At 48.8% G+C, this 15,446-nt stretch overlaps 2 annotated features.

The window, feature by feature from the left end:
* Positions 8,513–8,612: a silencer, noted in NCBI's record as "silent region_7325". NCBI's record gives its function as "represses an Ori minimal core promoter by ATAC-STARR-seq in GM12878 lymphoblastoid cells {active_cell/tissue: GM12878}" and the evidence as "EXISTENCE:reporter gene assay evidence [ECO:0000049][PMID:35858748]".
* Positions 12,309–12,810: an enhancer, noted in NCBI's record as "H3K4me1 hESC enhancer chr16:29036345-29036846 (GRCh37/hg19 assembly coordinates)". NCBI's record gives its function as "activates a minimal SCP1, AML or CMV promoter by ChIP-STARR-seq in primed H9 embryonic stem cells {active_cell/tissue: H9 hESC(primed)}" and the evidence as "EXISTENCE:reporter gene assay evidence [ECO:0000049][PMID:30033119]".

Raw genomic sequence — 15,446 nt, 5'->3', positions numbered from 1 at the left:
CAGCAGGATGCGGAAGGTCCTGATAGTAAACCATCTCCATCACATCCATGTAGCCATCCGTCCATCAACCTGTATCTCAGGAACAAATGTAGATACATTCATTTTAAGCATGCATGGTACATTTACAAAAATTAACCTGACTTATTTTGTTCCAGCAAATCTCAATATATTTGAGAGCAATCAAATCACACAGCACGTTTCTGATCATATAACTGTGCTAGAAGTCAATGATTAAAAGCCAATTCAAAATTATTATTTGCTTGGAAATTCAAAGTGCCCTTATAAGACATAAACATAAGAAAGAATCCAAAATGAAACAAGATTGCCTTTCAACTCAATGATAAGATCATAACATGGCAATAAAATGTCTCCCTCTGACCTGGGAATTCCTCTTTGTGGCACAAGGTTGTGTGATCTCAAATCACCCCTAACCCACCTAGACATTTTAACATCCGAAACCGAGTGATGATGTCCTTATCTATATCATCTTACTGCCTGTGTGTGTGGACTTTAAATTCTGAACCCAAATGAGGGGGAGAAAACCAAGTTGACCTTCATGACTGACCTCTCAGGGATGTCCAAGGAATCTGTGCATTTCAAGAAACAAAGTTCATCAGCTTCTCTCCTAAGGTATTTGCCCACAATACCCAGAGGGCTTGGCAGCATCATGTGTGATGGGTGGGGAGCTCCAAGCAGGTGGGCAGGACCCAGGGGTCTGGTGACCAGGACAGACCCCCACTGTCCATCACCTTTCCTGACCCTGTCCTCAGCTAAACTTCCCACAGGCCTTCTGCCTGATCACACAGAGTGTGCCCAAACTCACTCAGGCCTCTGGCAGCTGAAAACCACTGCTTTAAATCCCTTTACCATTTACTATGACATAAGGTTATTGTAAACAGGAAATATTCTATTGATGCTACAAATGGAAAGCCAATGCCTTTACCATAAATAGAAAAACAACCCTAAGAAACAAGCAAAACAAAAACAAAACAGGGGCTGGGTGTGGTGGCTCACGCCTGTAATCCCAGCACTTTGGGAGGCCGAGGTGGGCGGATCACAAGGTCAGGAGTTCCAGACCAGCCTGGCCAATATGGTGAAACCCTGTCTCTAATAAAATACAAAAATTAGCCGGGTGTGGTGGTGGGCGCCTTAGTCCCACCTACTTGGGAGGCTGAGGCAGGAGAATAGTTTGAACCCGGGAGGCAGAGTCTGCAGTGAGCCGAGATTGCACCACTGCACTCCAGCCTAGGCGACAGAGCGAGACTCTGTCTCAAAAACAGCAACAACTACAAACAAACAAAAAACAGGGTTAACAAAACTATGGAATTCAATTCTATTTATATGCTGCAGCCATGTTCCAGCCCTAGATTTGGCTGGGCATGGTGGCTCACGCCTGTAATCCCAGCACTTTGGGAGGCTGAGGCCGGCGGATCACGAGGTTAGGAGTTCGAGACCAGCCTGACCAACATGGTGAAACCCCGTCTCTACTAAAAATACAAAAATTAGCCAGGCACGGTGGCACCCGCCTGTAATCCCAGCTACTCAGGAGGCTGAGGCAGGACAATCCCTTGAACCCGGGAGGTGGAGGTTGCAGTGAGCCGAGATCGTGCCATTGCACTCCAGCCTGGGTGACAGAATGGAGTGAGACTCTGTCTCAAAAAAAAAGAAGCCCTCGGATTTCGGTTGTGTTGGTTGTAAAAGGAGAGACCAAGTAAGTGGGGGTTGAAGTCAGATTAGACCAAAAGTGAATGGCAGAGAGTACTATAATGTCCATGAAGGGTTGCTAGAGTCACCGTGATCATAGCCCAAGCAGAGACAGGGAAAGGAAGATGTGAGCAGAGTTTGGGGCCTCGAACATTGGAGGTTACTCGTGCAGCCCAGGAAAGGCTCCCCAAAGCCAAGATCAACCTCCCTTGCAGGCGGTCCCTCATGGAGGCATGGCCAGGCACCTTAGATTTGAGACCAGCTGTGTTGCTGCTGACCAGCTGTGTGACCCTGGGCTGGTTTCCTTGCGTACAATGGGAGTGCCAATGGCTGCATGCATGCAAAGACCATCTGAGGATAGGAGGAAGCAATCTGTTGAGCACCCGTGTACCTGAGTGTCATCACCTCCCAAGGGCATCCTTCGTTCCAGAGCTGGCACCTTGGAAGGCCCTTGGTCACTGAAGGCAGTGATGATGGTAACAGCAGTATATCATCATTTACGGCTGATGACGGAAGGCCAGGGGGTAGGGCTCCTAGGTCCTGGATAAGAATGAGGGTCTGGGCACTCCTGGGGACAGCTGAGTGGTAGGACTCCTGGGTCCCCAGGGTGCAGGTCCATCTTCAGTGGCATTGGGCCTAGGCTGGGATGCTGAGTTATCCACTGGAGCATCAGCAGTACAGGCAGGCACAGAGGCAGTGGATCCATCGGAGGTGGCAGGTGTAGGATCATCTGGTGAGCAAGTAGAGTCACCAAGCCTGGCTGACCACTACCCCCACTATCCCCACAGACGATGCCCTGTCCCTTGCCTCATGCTCCGGCAGGGTACAGGCTCACACCTGGGGCCTCATGGAGCATCTCTCTAAGACCTCTGTGTCCTGGTCATTGAATGGGCACTTGAGTCACCCAGGGCCATTGGAACAAAGAGGAAGAATCAGGCCCCACGATGTTTGGGGCCTATTATTATTTATCAAAAAATAATAATAATAAACACGTAATGACTGAAAGCATCCTAAATTTGATGAAAAACTAAACTACCCATCCAAAAATCTTAGCAAATATTATTATGACATGTAAACTCAACTCAGAGCTAAGCTATATAATAAATTATTATTACCTTTCCTTTCTGCACAATTTTTGTTTTCCATGGGTTAGTCATTTTCGTTTTTTTCATTTGCTTAGCATATTCGATGTGCTTATTAACTCAACCCAAATCTCTCCATCAGTTGTTTATATCATTTCTCAAGGTGTTCACTTAGATTAAGTGGTTTGTGAATTTCATTTTCTTGGAAAAAAATCTCTGCTGGTGCCTCCTGCCATGCTCCAATATGAATGCACTCCTGCCCAGGCCTTCTGCACGGTGTCACCGCGGGGTCTTTCTCATCTCATCCTTTCCCCAAGGAGACCCTTCCCCTCTTTTTTTTTTTTTCTTCTCTTTTTTGAGACAGAGTCTCAATCTGTCATCCAGGCTAGAGTGCAGTGGGGCAGTCTCGGCTCATTGCCACCTCCACCTCGCGGGTTCAAGCGATTCTTCTTCCTCAGCCTCCCGAGTAGCTGGGCTCACAGGTGTGTGCCACCACGCCCAGCTAATTTTTGTATTTTTAGTAGAGACGGGGTTACACCACGTGGGCCAGGCTGGTCCCAAGCCCCTGACTTCAGGTGATCCGCCTACCTTGGCCTCCCAAAGTGCTGAGATTACAGGCGTGAGCCACCCCGCCCCACCTCCCTTCCCCTCTTCCATATGTTGAATCTCCTGTTCCTAGATGCCATTATGTTCCTCTTACTTGGCTTGTTTTCTTGTTTTGGTCGAGTGCATTCTCCTATAGTTACCCAGTTAAAGAATGCATCAGAAGTAACTTTTGGCTGCTCTGCCTATGGAGCAGCCATTCTTTTATTTCTTTACTTTCTTAATAACCTTGCTTTCAAAAAAAAAAAAAAAACACCTGTCATCGAAGCACTTTGGGAGGCCAAGGCAGGCAGATCACTTGAGGTCAGGAGTTCAAGACCAGACTGGTCAGCATGGTAAGACCCTGTCTCTATTAAAAATACAAAAATTAGCCAGGTGCGGTGGCACACACCTGTATTCCCAGCTACTCGGGAGGCTGAGGCAGAAGAATCGCTTGAACCTGGGAGGCAGAGGTTGCAGTGAACCAAGATCATGCCACTGCACTTTAGCCTGGGTGGCAGGGTGAGACTCCATCTCTATAAATAAATAAATAAATAAATAAATAAATAAATAAATAAATAAATGGAGTATCTTCTGAGACCTTGCAAAAAATTTTTTTTTGTTGAATCTTTTCAGACTCATTTCTAAAATGCCCACTGGGGTTTGCATTTTCACCAGCAATATATGACTATGCTTCCCCTGAAACTCCATTAGCTCTTTAATTTTTGCTTACCTGATGGGTATAAAGTGCTACCTCATTGGTCCTTCAATTTGTGTTTCCCTGGTTACTAATGAGGCTGAACATTTTTTGCTTATTTATTTGCTATTTAAATTTGCTCCTCTGTGAATTGCCTGCGCTTCCTCCTCTTGGCCGTTTTTCTTTCATACTGTTTGTCTTTTTGCTGACAGTCTGCAAGGCCTGTCTATGCACCACAGATACAGGCTGTTCATTTGCCATATTGGCAAATCCAAGTCACCCTTTAACTTTGCTTACAATATTTTCCCATAATTTTTTCCTCCAATTTTAACAAAGATTCATCTAAAAGATTCTTGGTGACTTCTGGGCTTCTTTTATTGGTTTAAAAATTTCCCGCCTGGGCATGGTGGCTCACACCAGTAATCCCAGCACTCTGGGAGGCCGAGGTGGGCAGACTGCCTGAGGTCAGGAGTTCAAGACCAGCCTGGCCAACATGGTAAAACCCCGTCTCTACTAAAAATACAAAAATTAGCCAGGCATGGTGGTGCATGCCTGTAATCCCAGCTACTCGGGAGGCTGAGGCCAGAGAAGCACTTGAACCCAGGAGGTAGAGGTTGCAGCAAGCCAAGATCACACCACTGCACTCCAGCCTGGGCAACAGGCTAAGACTCTGTCTCAAAAACAAAAATAACAAATATTTTCCACAATTTCCACATTATATATATATATATAGTTTCCTAAATTTTCTTCTGAGAATTTTTTTTTTTTAAGACAGAGTCTCGCTCTCATGCCCAGGCCGGAGTGCAGTGGTGCAGTCTCGGCTCACTGCAGCCTCCACCTCCCAGGATCAAGTGATTCTCCTGCCTCAGCCTCCCTAGTAGATTACAGGAGCCCGTCACCACGTCTGGCTACTTTTTGTATTTTTAGCAGAGACAGGATTTCACCATGTTGTCCAGGCTGATCTCGAATTCCTGACCTCAGGTGATCCACCCTCCTTAGCTTCCCAAAGTGCTGGGATTACAGGTGTGAGCTACTACGCCCGGCAAATCTCCCATTTTCTTATGTTAGCCTCTAACTCTTTGTCCTTGACATGTTTTTCTTCATAGAGGCCCTGCACCTTCCCTCTTCAAAGCATCCCCTAAGCAATATGTGAATGAAATAGGTTCCTTTTTCTACTTCTAGCCAATGAATTCTTACAATATCAAATTATCTCTTTTCAGTCAGGTGCAGTGGCTCATGCCTGTAATCGCAGCACTTTGGGAGGCCGAGGCGGACAGATAACTTGAGGTCAGGAGTTTGAGACCAGCCTGGCCAACACGGTGAAACCTCATCTCTACTAAAAATACAAAAATTAGCCAGCCGTGGTGGCGCATGCCTGTAATCCTAGCTACTTGGGAAGCTGAGGCAGGAGAATCACTTGAACCTAGGAGGTGGAGGCTGCAATGAAACGAAATTGCACCACTGCACTCCAGCCTGGGGGACAGAGTGAGACTCCATCTCAAAACACACACACACATACACAGACACACACACAAATTCTCTCTTTTATTTCAGTAGTATTTATTTTTGTTCTTGTTCTGGCATATGTAATAGAGCCTCCAAAACACCATTTTGTTGTGATTTTAAAGGAAATGGCTTTCGTATTTAGAGTGATTTTTTCTGTTAAGTTTTAGCAAAGAAACTTCATGATATTTAGGTAGTTTATGTTTTTATTTTTATTTTATTTTAAGACAGGATCTTGCTCTGTCACCCAGGCTGGAGTGGTACAGTGGCACAATCACAGCTTGCTGCAGCCCCAACCACCCAGGCTCAAGTGATCCTCCCACCTCAGCCTCCCGAGTAGCTGAGACCAAAGGCATGCACCACCTGCCAAGCTAATTTTTTTTTTTTTGTAGTGACAGAGACTCATTATGTTGCCCAGGCTGGTCTCAAACTCTTGGGCTCAAACGATCATCCCAAAATGCTGGGATTACAGGCACCTCCTGGGTTCACACCGTTCTCCTGCCTCAGCCTCCCGAGTAGCTGTGACTACAGGCACCCGCCACCACGCCCAGCTAATTTTTTGCATTTTTAGTAGAGACGGGGTTTCACTGTGCTAGCCAGATTGAGGTCTCAATCTCCTGACCTCGTGATCCACCCGCCTTGGACTCCCAAAGTGCTGGGATTACAGGCATGAGCCACTGCGGCTGGCCTTGTTTTTCTTTTTTTAGAAAAAGCTGTTGAATTTTCCAGCTGACTTCTCAACACCAATTGATGTGATCACATTGTACTTTCCCTATGCAATTATATTGATCAATTACCGTACTTGATCATTCCTGAAGTAAACTGCTCAAGATATGTTACCTTTGGATATATAATTGTATTTTATTAACATTTTATTTAGAATTTTTACACCCAAATAATTAATCTTCAACCTCCTCTTCTTGGCTTGTTTTTGGTTTTTTTGTTCTTGTTGTAATTTGCTTGTTGGTTTACTATGTTTGTGAGATTTTCCTTTTTTTTTTTTTTTGAGAGGGAGTCTCACTCTCTCACCCAGGCTGGAGTGCAATGGCGTGATCTTGGCTCACTGCAACCTCCACCTCCTGGGTTCAAACGATTCTCCTGCCTCAGCCTCCTGAATAGCAAGTAGCTGCGATTACAGGCACCTGCCACCATGCCCGGCTAATTTTTGTATTTTTAGTAGAGACAGGGTTTTACCATGTTGGCCAGGCTGGTCTCGAACTCCTGACCTCGGGTGATCCATCCTCCTCGGCCTTCCATAGGCTAGGATTACAAGCATGAGCCACCGTGCCCGGCCTACTATGTTTATGAGATTTTTCTAGGAAGGTCATGCTGCCTTCATAAAAAAAATCCAATAGTTTCTTTTTCTATAACCTAGAATAGTTTAGCTAACATTGGAATTCCCATTATTCGTTTCACTTTATCTGATGATCCGCTGGACTCATCTTTGAAACCGTCAGGGGTTGGTGCCTCTACAAACAATTTTGTGCACACAAAATGGCATGTAACATACATGTAAGTTAGGAGGCACAGAATGAAGACCCCAGAGCCGAGTTAAGGTACGTTTATAACTTACTCATAGTGTCACCAAGGTTCAGCTTGGCTAAAAGGGCAAGGGGGAGGGGACACCCACCACCTCTTCTTAACAGCTGTCTTCTGGTGTCAGCACTCAGGAGTAAGCCAGACATTGTCACCATATGTTACCTGCGAGGAGGTGAGACCCTGAAGAGCAATTGGTAGTTTTCTCTGCTTTTCTCTTTTATTCTTCTTTGTAATAAAAACATGCTCACATTTAAACTCCTGCCATTTTATTGACTGGATTTGAAGCTGTGTGGGCAGGAGAGAGATGGACTCTGGGGGATGGAGAGGGACGGACAAGGGTTTGAAGCCCAGCTTTGCCCCCAGAGTGGCCCTGGGTGACTTGGACACCTGCAGGGAGCTGGCTTTCTCAGCAGTAAAATAGGTTTGTGTGGGGTTCAAATAAGCCCAGGGCCAGGTGCAGTGGCCCACATCCGTAATCCCCTCCCTTGGGAGGCCGAGGTGTGTGGATCACTTGAGGTCAGGAGTTTGAGACCAGCCTGACCAACATGGTGAAACCCTGTCTCTACTAAAAATATAAAAATAAGCCAGGCAGGATGGCAGGCACCTGTAATCCCAGATACTCAGGAGGCTGAGGCAGGAGAATCACTTTAACCTGGGGGGTGGAGATTGCAGTGAGCTGAGATTGCACCATTCCACTCCAGCCTGGGCAACATAGCAAGACTCCACCCTAAAAAAATATAATAAAATAAATAAATAAGCCCAAGGCCCCAGAGCAGATATTCCATAAATGTGTTTCCTCCTTGGCCCTTCTCACCACCCCTAACAGAGAAGGGCTGCATTTCGTTGTTGGGTAATGTGGAGCCAGTGCAGGTTCTTGAGGAGGGGAGTGGCCAAGAGCCAATAAAGCACAATAGGATGGACTCAGTGCTGGGATGTGGATGTGAGATGAACCTGATGCTACAGACCGGCAAACTGAGGCACAGAGAAGGGAAGTTGCTTGCCCAAGGTCACAAAGCTAACAGGGCTGGAACTGGAACCCAGATCTTTCTGACTCCAGGCCTCCCAGTCACAGAGTCTATCCCTCCGCCCCCAGAATCTGGGAGACACCACCAGCCCTCCACAACCCACTGCACCACCAGCTTCTTGGGAGGGATGCGCGTCACCCCTGTGTCCTGGCACCTTCCGTGCCTGCCCCCGCATGAGTCACCCACCAGAGCAGAGTGAAAACCCACCTCCCTGGGGGAGGCCTCCATGTGAGTGCATTTCAGGTTCCCGTCTTAGTCACCACTTCTCTTGGTTCCCACCCCTCCCCCGGCTGCCGGGAGCTGCCTGTGACACCCCCAGTAGGCTCAGACCCAAGTGTGTGGCGGGGCTGGGCCCTAGGGAAGGGCCGAGGCCTGATCCCAAGGTGTTGCAGGGTGGCCGGGGGGTACACTAGCCCTGCAACTGCCACGGGCTCCCCTCCCCCTAAGGAAAGCAGAGAACTTGCTGACGGTCGCTGTCTCAGTGCTAATAAGAGCTGACACCACAGATACTTACTTCCAGGCCCTGCACTAAGCCCTCTGCATCTGCTAAGAAATCTGATCCTCACAAAAGCCCAGGAGCTGCTCTTGTCTGTTTTGTAGATGGGGCAACTGAGACTCAGAGAGGGAGAGTGACTTGCCCGAGGTCACAGAGCCAGCAAAGGACAGGGCAGGTGGCAAACTCAGGCAGCCTGTGCAGACTCATCATGCAATCCTGCCCCTCCATGACTGGTGCTCCTGCCTCAACGCTGTCCCAAGGGCCAGGCAAGGTGGGGTCCTGCCCTGGGTCTTTTTTTTTTTTTTAAGATGGGTTCTTGCTGTGTGACCCAGGCTGGAGTGCAATGGTGCCTTCATGGCTTCCCTGCAGCCTCGGACTCCTGCCTGCCCTGAGTCCTGTCCTGCCCCTTCCGCCCAGCCCAGCCAGAGCCCCTGAGAATGGTAAGCAGGGACCACCCTCTGAGGAAGGAGTGGGTGGGCACCAGCTCTGCCCACCACCGAGGAGCCTAGACCAGGCACTGCACCAGCTCCAGCCCCACAACTACCTGCAACCCCTCCAGGGTGCCAGGCTGGTCACCTCCCGGACTTTATCGGCAGTTCCCTCTGCTTAGGACACCTTCCCCTTCTCTCAACTACCCTTTCTGTACTACTCCAGGGGGCAGTGTCACCTCCTCCAGGAAGCCCTCTGGGATGTGCCCCTATAGACCTACACTTAGAGCTCCCAGGTGTGAATCCCAAATTTGCCATTTGCTTGCTGTGACCATAGGCAAATGACTGAACTTGTCTGAGCCTCTGTTTCCTCATCTTCAAAATGAGGCCAGTGATATCTCAGGGGGTTGCTGTGAGGACGAAGAAAGAGCAGGGCAACGTGCTTATAACATGGCCTAGCCCATAGTAAACGCTCAGTAAACTCGGCTCTTTATACCATTGATCACGTTGGATAGTAATTGTTAGTGTCCATCCAGCATCTCATTTCCATGCTTGTCCTCAGAGCCCAGCCACAGGGCCTGCCCCAGAGACCATCTCAATATACATCCTATTCATTGAATGAAAGACCTGGGGCTGAGTGCAGTGGCTCATGCCTATAATCCCAGCTCTTTGGGAGGCTGAGGTGGGAGGATCCTTTGAAACCAGAAGTTCAAGACCAGCCTGGGCAACAGAGCAAGACCCCCATCTCTACAAAAGCTTTAAAAATGAGCCGAGCGTGTTGCCACACACTTGTGGTCCCAGCCTACTAAGGAGGCTGAAGCAGGAGGATGGCTTGAGCCTAGGAGCTTGAGGCTACAGTGAGCCATGATCGTGCCACTGCCCTCCAGCCTGGGTGACAGAGCAAGACTCCATCTCAAACAAACAAACACACAAACAAAAACTCCCGTGCTGATTAGTAGTGGGATTGCACCTGTGAATAGCAACTGCACTCCAGCCTGGGCAGCATAGCAAGAACTTGTCTCTAAAAAATAATTTTTTGCTGGGCACAGTGGCTCATGCCTGTAATCCCAGCACTTTGGGAGGCTGAGGTGGGCGGATCACAAGATCAGGAGTTCCAGACCAGCCTGGCCGATATGGTGAAACTGCATCTCTACTAAAAATACAAAAAAATTAGCCGAGCCTAGTGGAGCGTGCCTGTAATCTCAGCTACTCGGGAGGCTGAGGCAGGAGAATTGCTTGAAGCCGGGAGGCGGAGGTTGCAGTGAGCCAAGATCATGCCACTGCACTCCAGCCTGGGCCACAGAGCGAGACTCCATCTAAATAATAATAATAATAATAATTTTTTAATGAAAATAAAAGGGCCAGGCGCAGTAGCTCACACTTATAATTTTAGCACTTTGGGAGTCTGAGAAAGGAGGATCACTTGAGCCCAGGAGTTCAAGACGAGCCTTGGCAAGAAAGTGAGACCCCATCTCTGCAAAACAATTTTTAAAATTAGCCAGGTGGACCAGGCGCAGTGCCTCACGCCTGTAATCCTAGCACTTTGGGAGGCCAAGGCGGGCAGATCTGAGGTCAGGAGATTGAGACCATCCTTGCTAACACGGTGAGACCCCGTCCCTATTAAAAATACAGAAAATTAGCTGGGCGCGGTGGCACACACTTGTAGTCCCAGCTACTCGGGAGGCTGAGACAGGAGAATCACTTGAACCCAGGAGGCAGAGGTTGCAGTGAGCCGAGATCATGCCACTGCACTCCAGCCTGGGCAAGAGAGCGAGATTCTGTCTCAAAAAAAAAAAAAAAATTAGCCAGGTGCGGTGGCGCATGCCTGTAGTCCTAGCTACGCAGGAGGCTTAGGCAGGTGGATCCCTTGAGCCCAACAGTTCAAGACAGCAGTGAGCCATGATCACACCACTGCACTCCAGCCTGGGTGACGAAGTAAGACTGTGTCTCTTAAAAACAAATTTTAAAATAAAGGAAAAAGATAAATAAAGTGATATTTATAAAGCAGTTAAGACAGGGCAGGCCACAGTTAATGCTGGAGAAGTGTTGGGTAAATAGGAAAAAGTGACTGTGACCCCTTCGAGTGCCAGCACTTCTTTCCACGTTCAAGCAGCTCTCACCTCCCGCTGCCAGTGACTTCAGAGTCTGCATTACAAGGAGCACTTCTCTGGGTGCCTGCCCTGGGTGTTCAGGTCCTCCTCAATGCCCTGCTCATGCCCCAGTGTCTGGGGACTGGGTGTCAGGAGCCATGCCAGGCACTCAACATGGAGCAAATAGGACAGGGCACAGGGTATCGGCGTGGAAGAAAACAGCATAACCCTATTTTATATTTTATTTTATTATTTATTTATTTATTTATTTATTTATTTATTTATTTTGAGGTGGAGTTTCAATCTTGTTGCCCAGTCTGGAGTGCAGTGGCACAATCTCGGCTCACTGCAACCTCCACCTCCCAGGTTCAAGCGATTCTCCTGCCTCAGCCTCCTGAGTAGCTGGGACTACAGGGGCCCGCCACCACACCCAGCTAATTTTTGTATTTTTAGTAGAGACAGGGTTTCACCATGTTGGCCAGGCTGGTCTCAAACTCCTGACCTCAGGTGATCCGCCTGCCTTGGCCTCCCAAAGTGCTGAGATTACAGGCATGAACCACCATGCCAAGGCTTTTCTTTTCTTTTTTGAGATAGGGTCTCCCTCTGTCACCCAGGCTGGAGTTCTGTGATGCTATCATAGTTCACTATAGCCTCCTCAACCTCCTAGGTTCAAGCGATCCTCCCACCTCAGCCCCCCGAGTAGCTGGGACTACAGGTGTGCACCACCACACCCGGCTAATTTCTGTATTTTTTGTAGAGATGGGGTCTCGCTATGCTGCCCAGGCTGGTCTTGAACCCCTGGGCTTAAGTGATCTTCCTGCCTTGACCTTCCAAAGTGCTGAGATTACAGCTGTGAGCTACTGCACCCAGCCCAAGTATAATTTTCTTGACTCCAACCTTCACCACCTCTGACAATATCATTGAGACATATTTGGGTAAATTCAGTCCAAATTGGTGATTTTTGTTGTTGTTGTTCAGTTGCATTGAAGATTCTAAGCCCCAGCCATTCTCTGAGGACCGCCATGGTGTTCTTTCTTCTGCTTCACTTGCCCCTGGGAGAGCCTCAGCCCCCAGGCCACAGGGTGGGAGCCCGCGAATGTGGCTGGGTGACTGGGGGAGGGGAGAGAGTTTGGACAAAGCTGGGTGGCTGATGGGTTGCTCCCCCCACCTCCCACCTGCAGGAGCACTGCGGTTTCTCTTGCAGCTTGGAGGCTTTCCTCTTCATTTTTGTTGTTGCTAAGGCTTCTCAAGCCTCCTGCTTGACGCCTGCTTGGGACCAGCCGTCAGCTACAAGGTCACATCCTCCCAGCTACCTTCTGTATCCCTATCAGAGCCTGCAGAAACTCCTGGAGCACCTCTGCACCATACACAGGTCATGCAATACCTCATCAGCACTCTCCAGCCCTGTCTTCCTCAGGCCCCCTGGGTAGGTAAGACAGATAAAACACAGGGCATTCAGTTAAATTTGAATTTCAGATAACCAACAAATAGTGTTTTAGTGACTGGGCACGGTGGCTCATGCCTGTAACCCCAACACTTTGGGAGACCAAGATGGATGATCCCTTGAGGCCAGGTATTCAAGACCGGCCTGGGCAACATAGCGAGACCTCCGTCACCGTCCCTATAAAAATTTAAAAATTAACCGGGTGTGGTGGCGCACATCTGTAGTCCCAGCTACTTGAGGGGCTGAGGCAAGAAAATTGATAAAGCCCAGGAGGTCAAGGCTGCAATGAGCCATGTTCGTGCCACTTCACTCCAGCCTGGACAACAGAGCAAGACCCCATCTCTAAAATAATAGTAATAATAATAATAATAATAATGTTTTAGTATAAGTATGTCCCAGCAATTGCATCCTGCATTTTTATCTGCCAAATCGGGCTGCCCAACCCATGGAGCTGGATTTGTCTGTAAAGACGCAACCCAGCAACTCCAGTTAGGGAGGAGGATGCCAATCTGCCTCTCCCTCAAATACCCCAAACTCCCCGGGGGCACCCTTCCTCTGTATTTCCTTCCTTTCCATCTACCCCTTCCCCCACCCCACCTTCTTTCCCCCTGGACTGGCCTCAAGGAGGGGTAGGGAGGAAAAGTTCCACCTGCCTCCACGACCAGACCCTCCCTCGGGTTCCCTTTCCAGCTCACTACATCTTCCCTCTCGCTAGCAGGAGAAACCTCATTCTCCCGCTTGGCCCCTCCTGGGTCCTCTCTGCCTCACACCTGGCACACAGGCCTTTGAACTGGCAGTTTGGGCCCTCTGTCTCCATACCCAGCTGCTTTTGTGGGGTGGGGATGGTAGGAAACAGAACACATTGTTTGCCATTTTAAATCACTAGCCCCCTGCAAATCTCCACACCAGCCCTCGAGGCACCCATCACCTTCTTTGAGCCCTGTTACAACCTGCCCATTTCACAGAGGACACTGACCCTCAGAAGGGCGAAGGCTTTTGCCCCAGGTCCCACCGCTGGTGAGGGATGGGCTGTGGGGGTCTCTTTCCAAGGCCCCAGGGCTCCCCAGGCAGGCCACCGCCTTCTCAGAGACTTGGGGTCCCTGTAGGCCTGGCAGGGAAAGGCTGAGCTGCTGAGGATCCGGCTGCCTGAACCCAGGATGTCTTTCAATACGCAAGCTGGAGCTGCAGCCGCCTGGTGAAGCCTCATCCCACCCTCAACTAGGGGGGCCTCGTGTGACATTTCCTCTTCGGGGATCAGCCACCGCGGTGCTGGGGTGACAGAAAGGAAGGAAGAAAAGGCCCCATCTCCCCCACGAGAATTCAGAGAGATCTGACAGCTCAAAGTGGCCAGGCTTATGCACACAGGTCTCAAGAACAAGGGAAGCCTCTCTCCGAACCAGTGCCGCCACTCACCAAGTTCCTGGGCAACTCATCTCAGGGCCTCAAGCCCCAATTTCCTCATCCAAAGAATTGGGTCAACAGTCACAGGGCTGAAGGAAGTATTAAAAATGGCCTTACAGCCAGGTGTGATGGCCCACACCTGTAATCCCAGCACTTTGGGAGGCCAGAGCACTAGAACCATTTTAGGCCAGGAGTTCAAGACCAGCCTGGGCAACATAGCAAGACCTCCATCTCTACAAAAAGAAAAAAAAAAAAAGGACCCTAAATAATAAAAATAAATGACTAACATTTATTTAGTGTATATTATATGCCAGACACTGCTATAGGCACTTTGCATAGTACATTAAATTCTTGAATCAGGGCTGGGCATGGTGACTCATGCCTGTAATCCCAGCACTTTGCAAGGCCAAAGGCGGGCGAGTCACTTTAAGCTAGGAGTTTGAGACCAGCTTGACCACCATGGCAAAAAATACAAAAATTAGCCAGGTGTGGTGGTGCATACTGTGGTCCCAGATTCTCAGGAGGCTGAGGCAGGAGAATTGCTTGAACCCAGGAGGTAGATGTTGCAGTGAGCTGAGACTGCACCACTGCACTCCAGCCTGGTTGATAGGGTGAGCAAGACTGTCAGGAAAAAAAATTTTACGCAATCTTTCCAACAAGCCTATGAGGTGGGCACTATTATCATTTCTACTTTATTGCTGAAGAAACTGAGGCAGAGGGATGAAGTCACTTGCTAACGTTCACACGGCCACTGAGTCAGTATTTTAATTTTTTTTTTTTTTTTTGAGACAGAGTCTTGCTCTGTCACCCAGACTGGAGTGCAGTGGTGCGATCTCGGCTCATTGCAACCTCCGCATCCCGGCTCAAGCAATTCTCATGCCTCAGTTTCCCGAGTAGCTGGGGTTACAGGCACCCACCACCACGCCCGGCTGAGTTTTGTATTTTTAGTAGAGACGGGGTTTCTCCATGTTGGCCAGGCTGATCTTGAACTCCTGCCCGCTAGTGATCTGCCTGCCTCAGCCTCCCAAAGTGCTGGGATTACAGGCATGAGCCACGGAGCCCAGCCCAATATTCTAATTGTGTTAACTACCGCAGCTTATATATAGAACACATAGCACAGAACTGCTCAATAAATTTGTGGCACCAACTAAAATGTCCCCATGAATAGACAGCAGTTAGCAGAATAGACCAGCAAATCCAGAAACAGCCCAAGAGAATTTAGCATAGGATAAGGCACTTTTTCAGATGAGTGGGGAAAATACGGATTATGCAATAAATTGGCTTTGGGACAAAGTTTAGCCATCTGAAAAAAAAATAATAATGCAGATTCATAGTTCACACCTTACACCAGGATAAATTACGTTCATGGTTTAAATGAGGCCAGGCATGGTGGCTCACGCCTGTAACCACAGCACTTTAGGAGGCTGAGGCAGGAGGATCGCTTGCGCCCAGGAG

This window comes from Homo sapiens, chromosome 16 (assembly GCF_000001405.40).
Source record: "Homo sapiens chromosome 16, GRCh38.p14 Primary Assembly".
In the NCBI taxonomy this organism is placed as follows: domain Eukaryota; kingdom Metazoa; phylum Chordata; class Mammalia; order Primates; family Hominidae; genus Homo; species Homo sapiens.
Note: the sequence above shows the minus strand (reverse complement) of the source record. Positions and strands in the feature narration are given on the sequence as shown.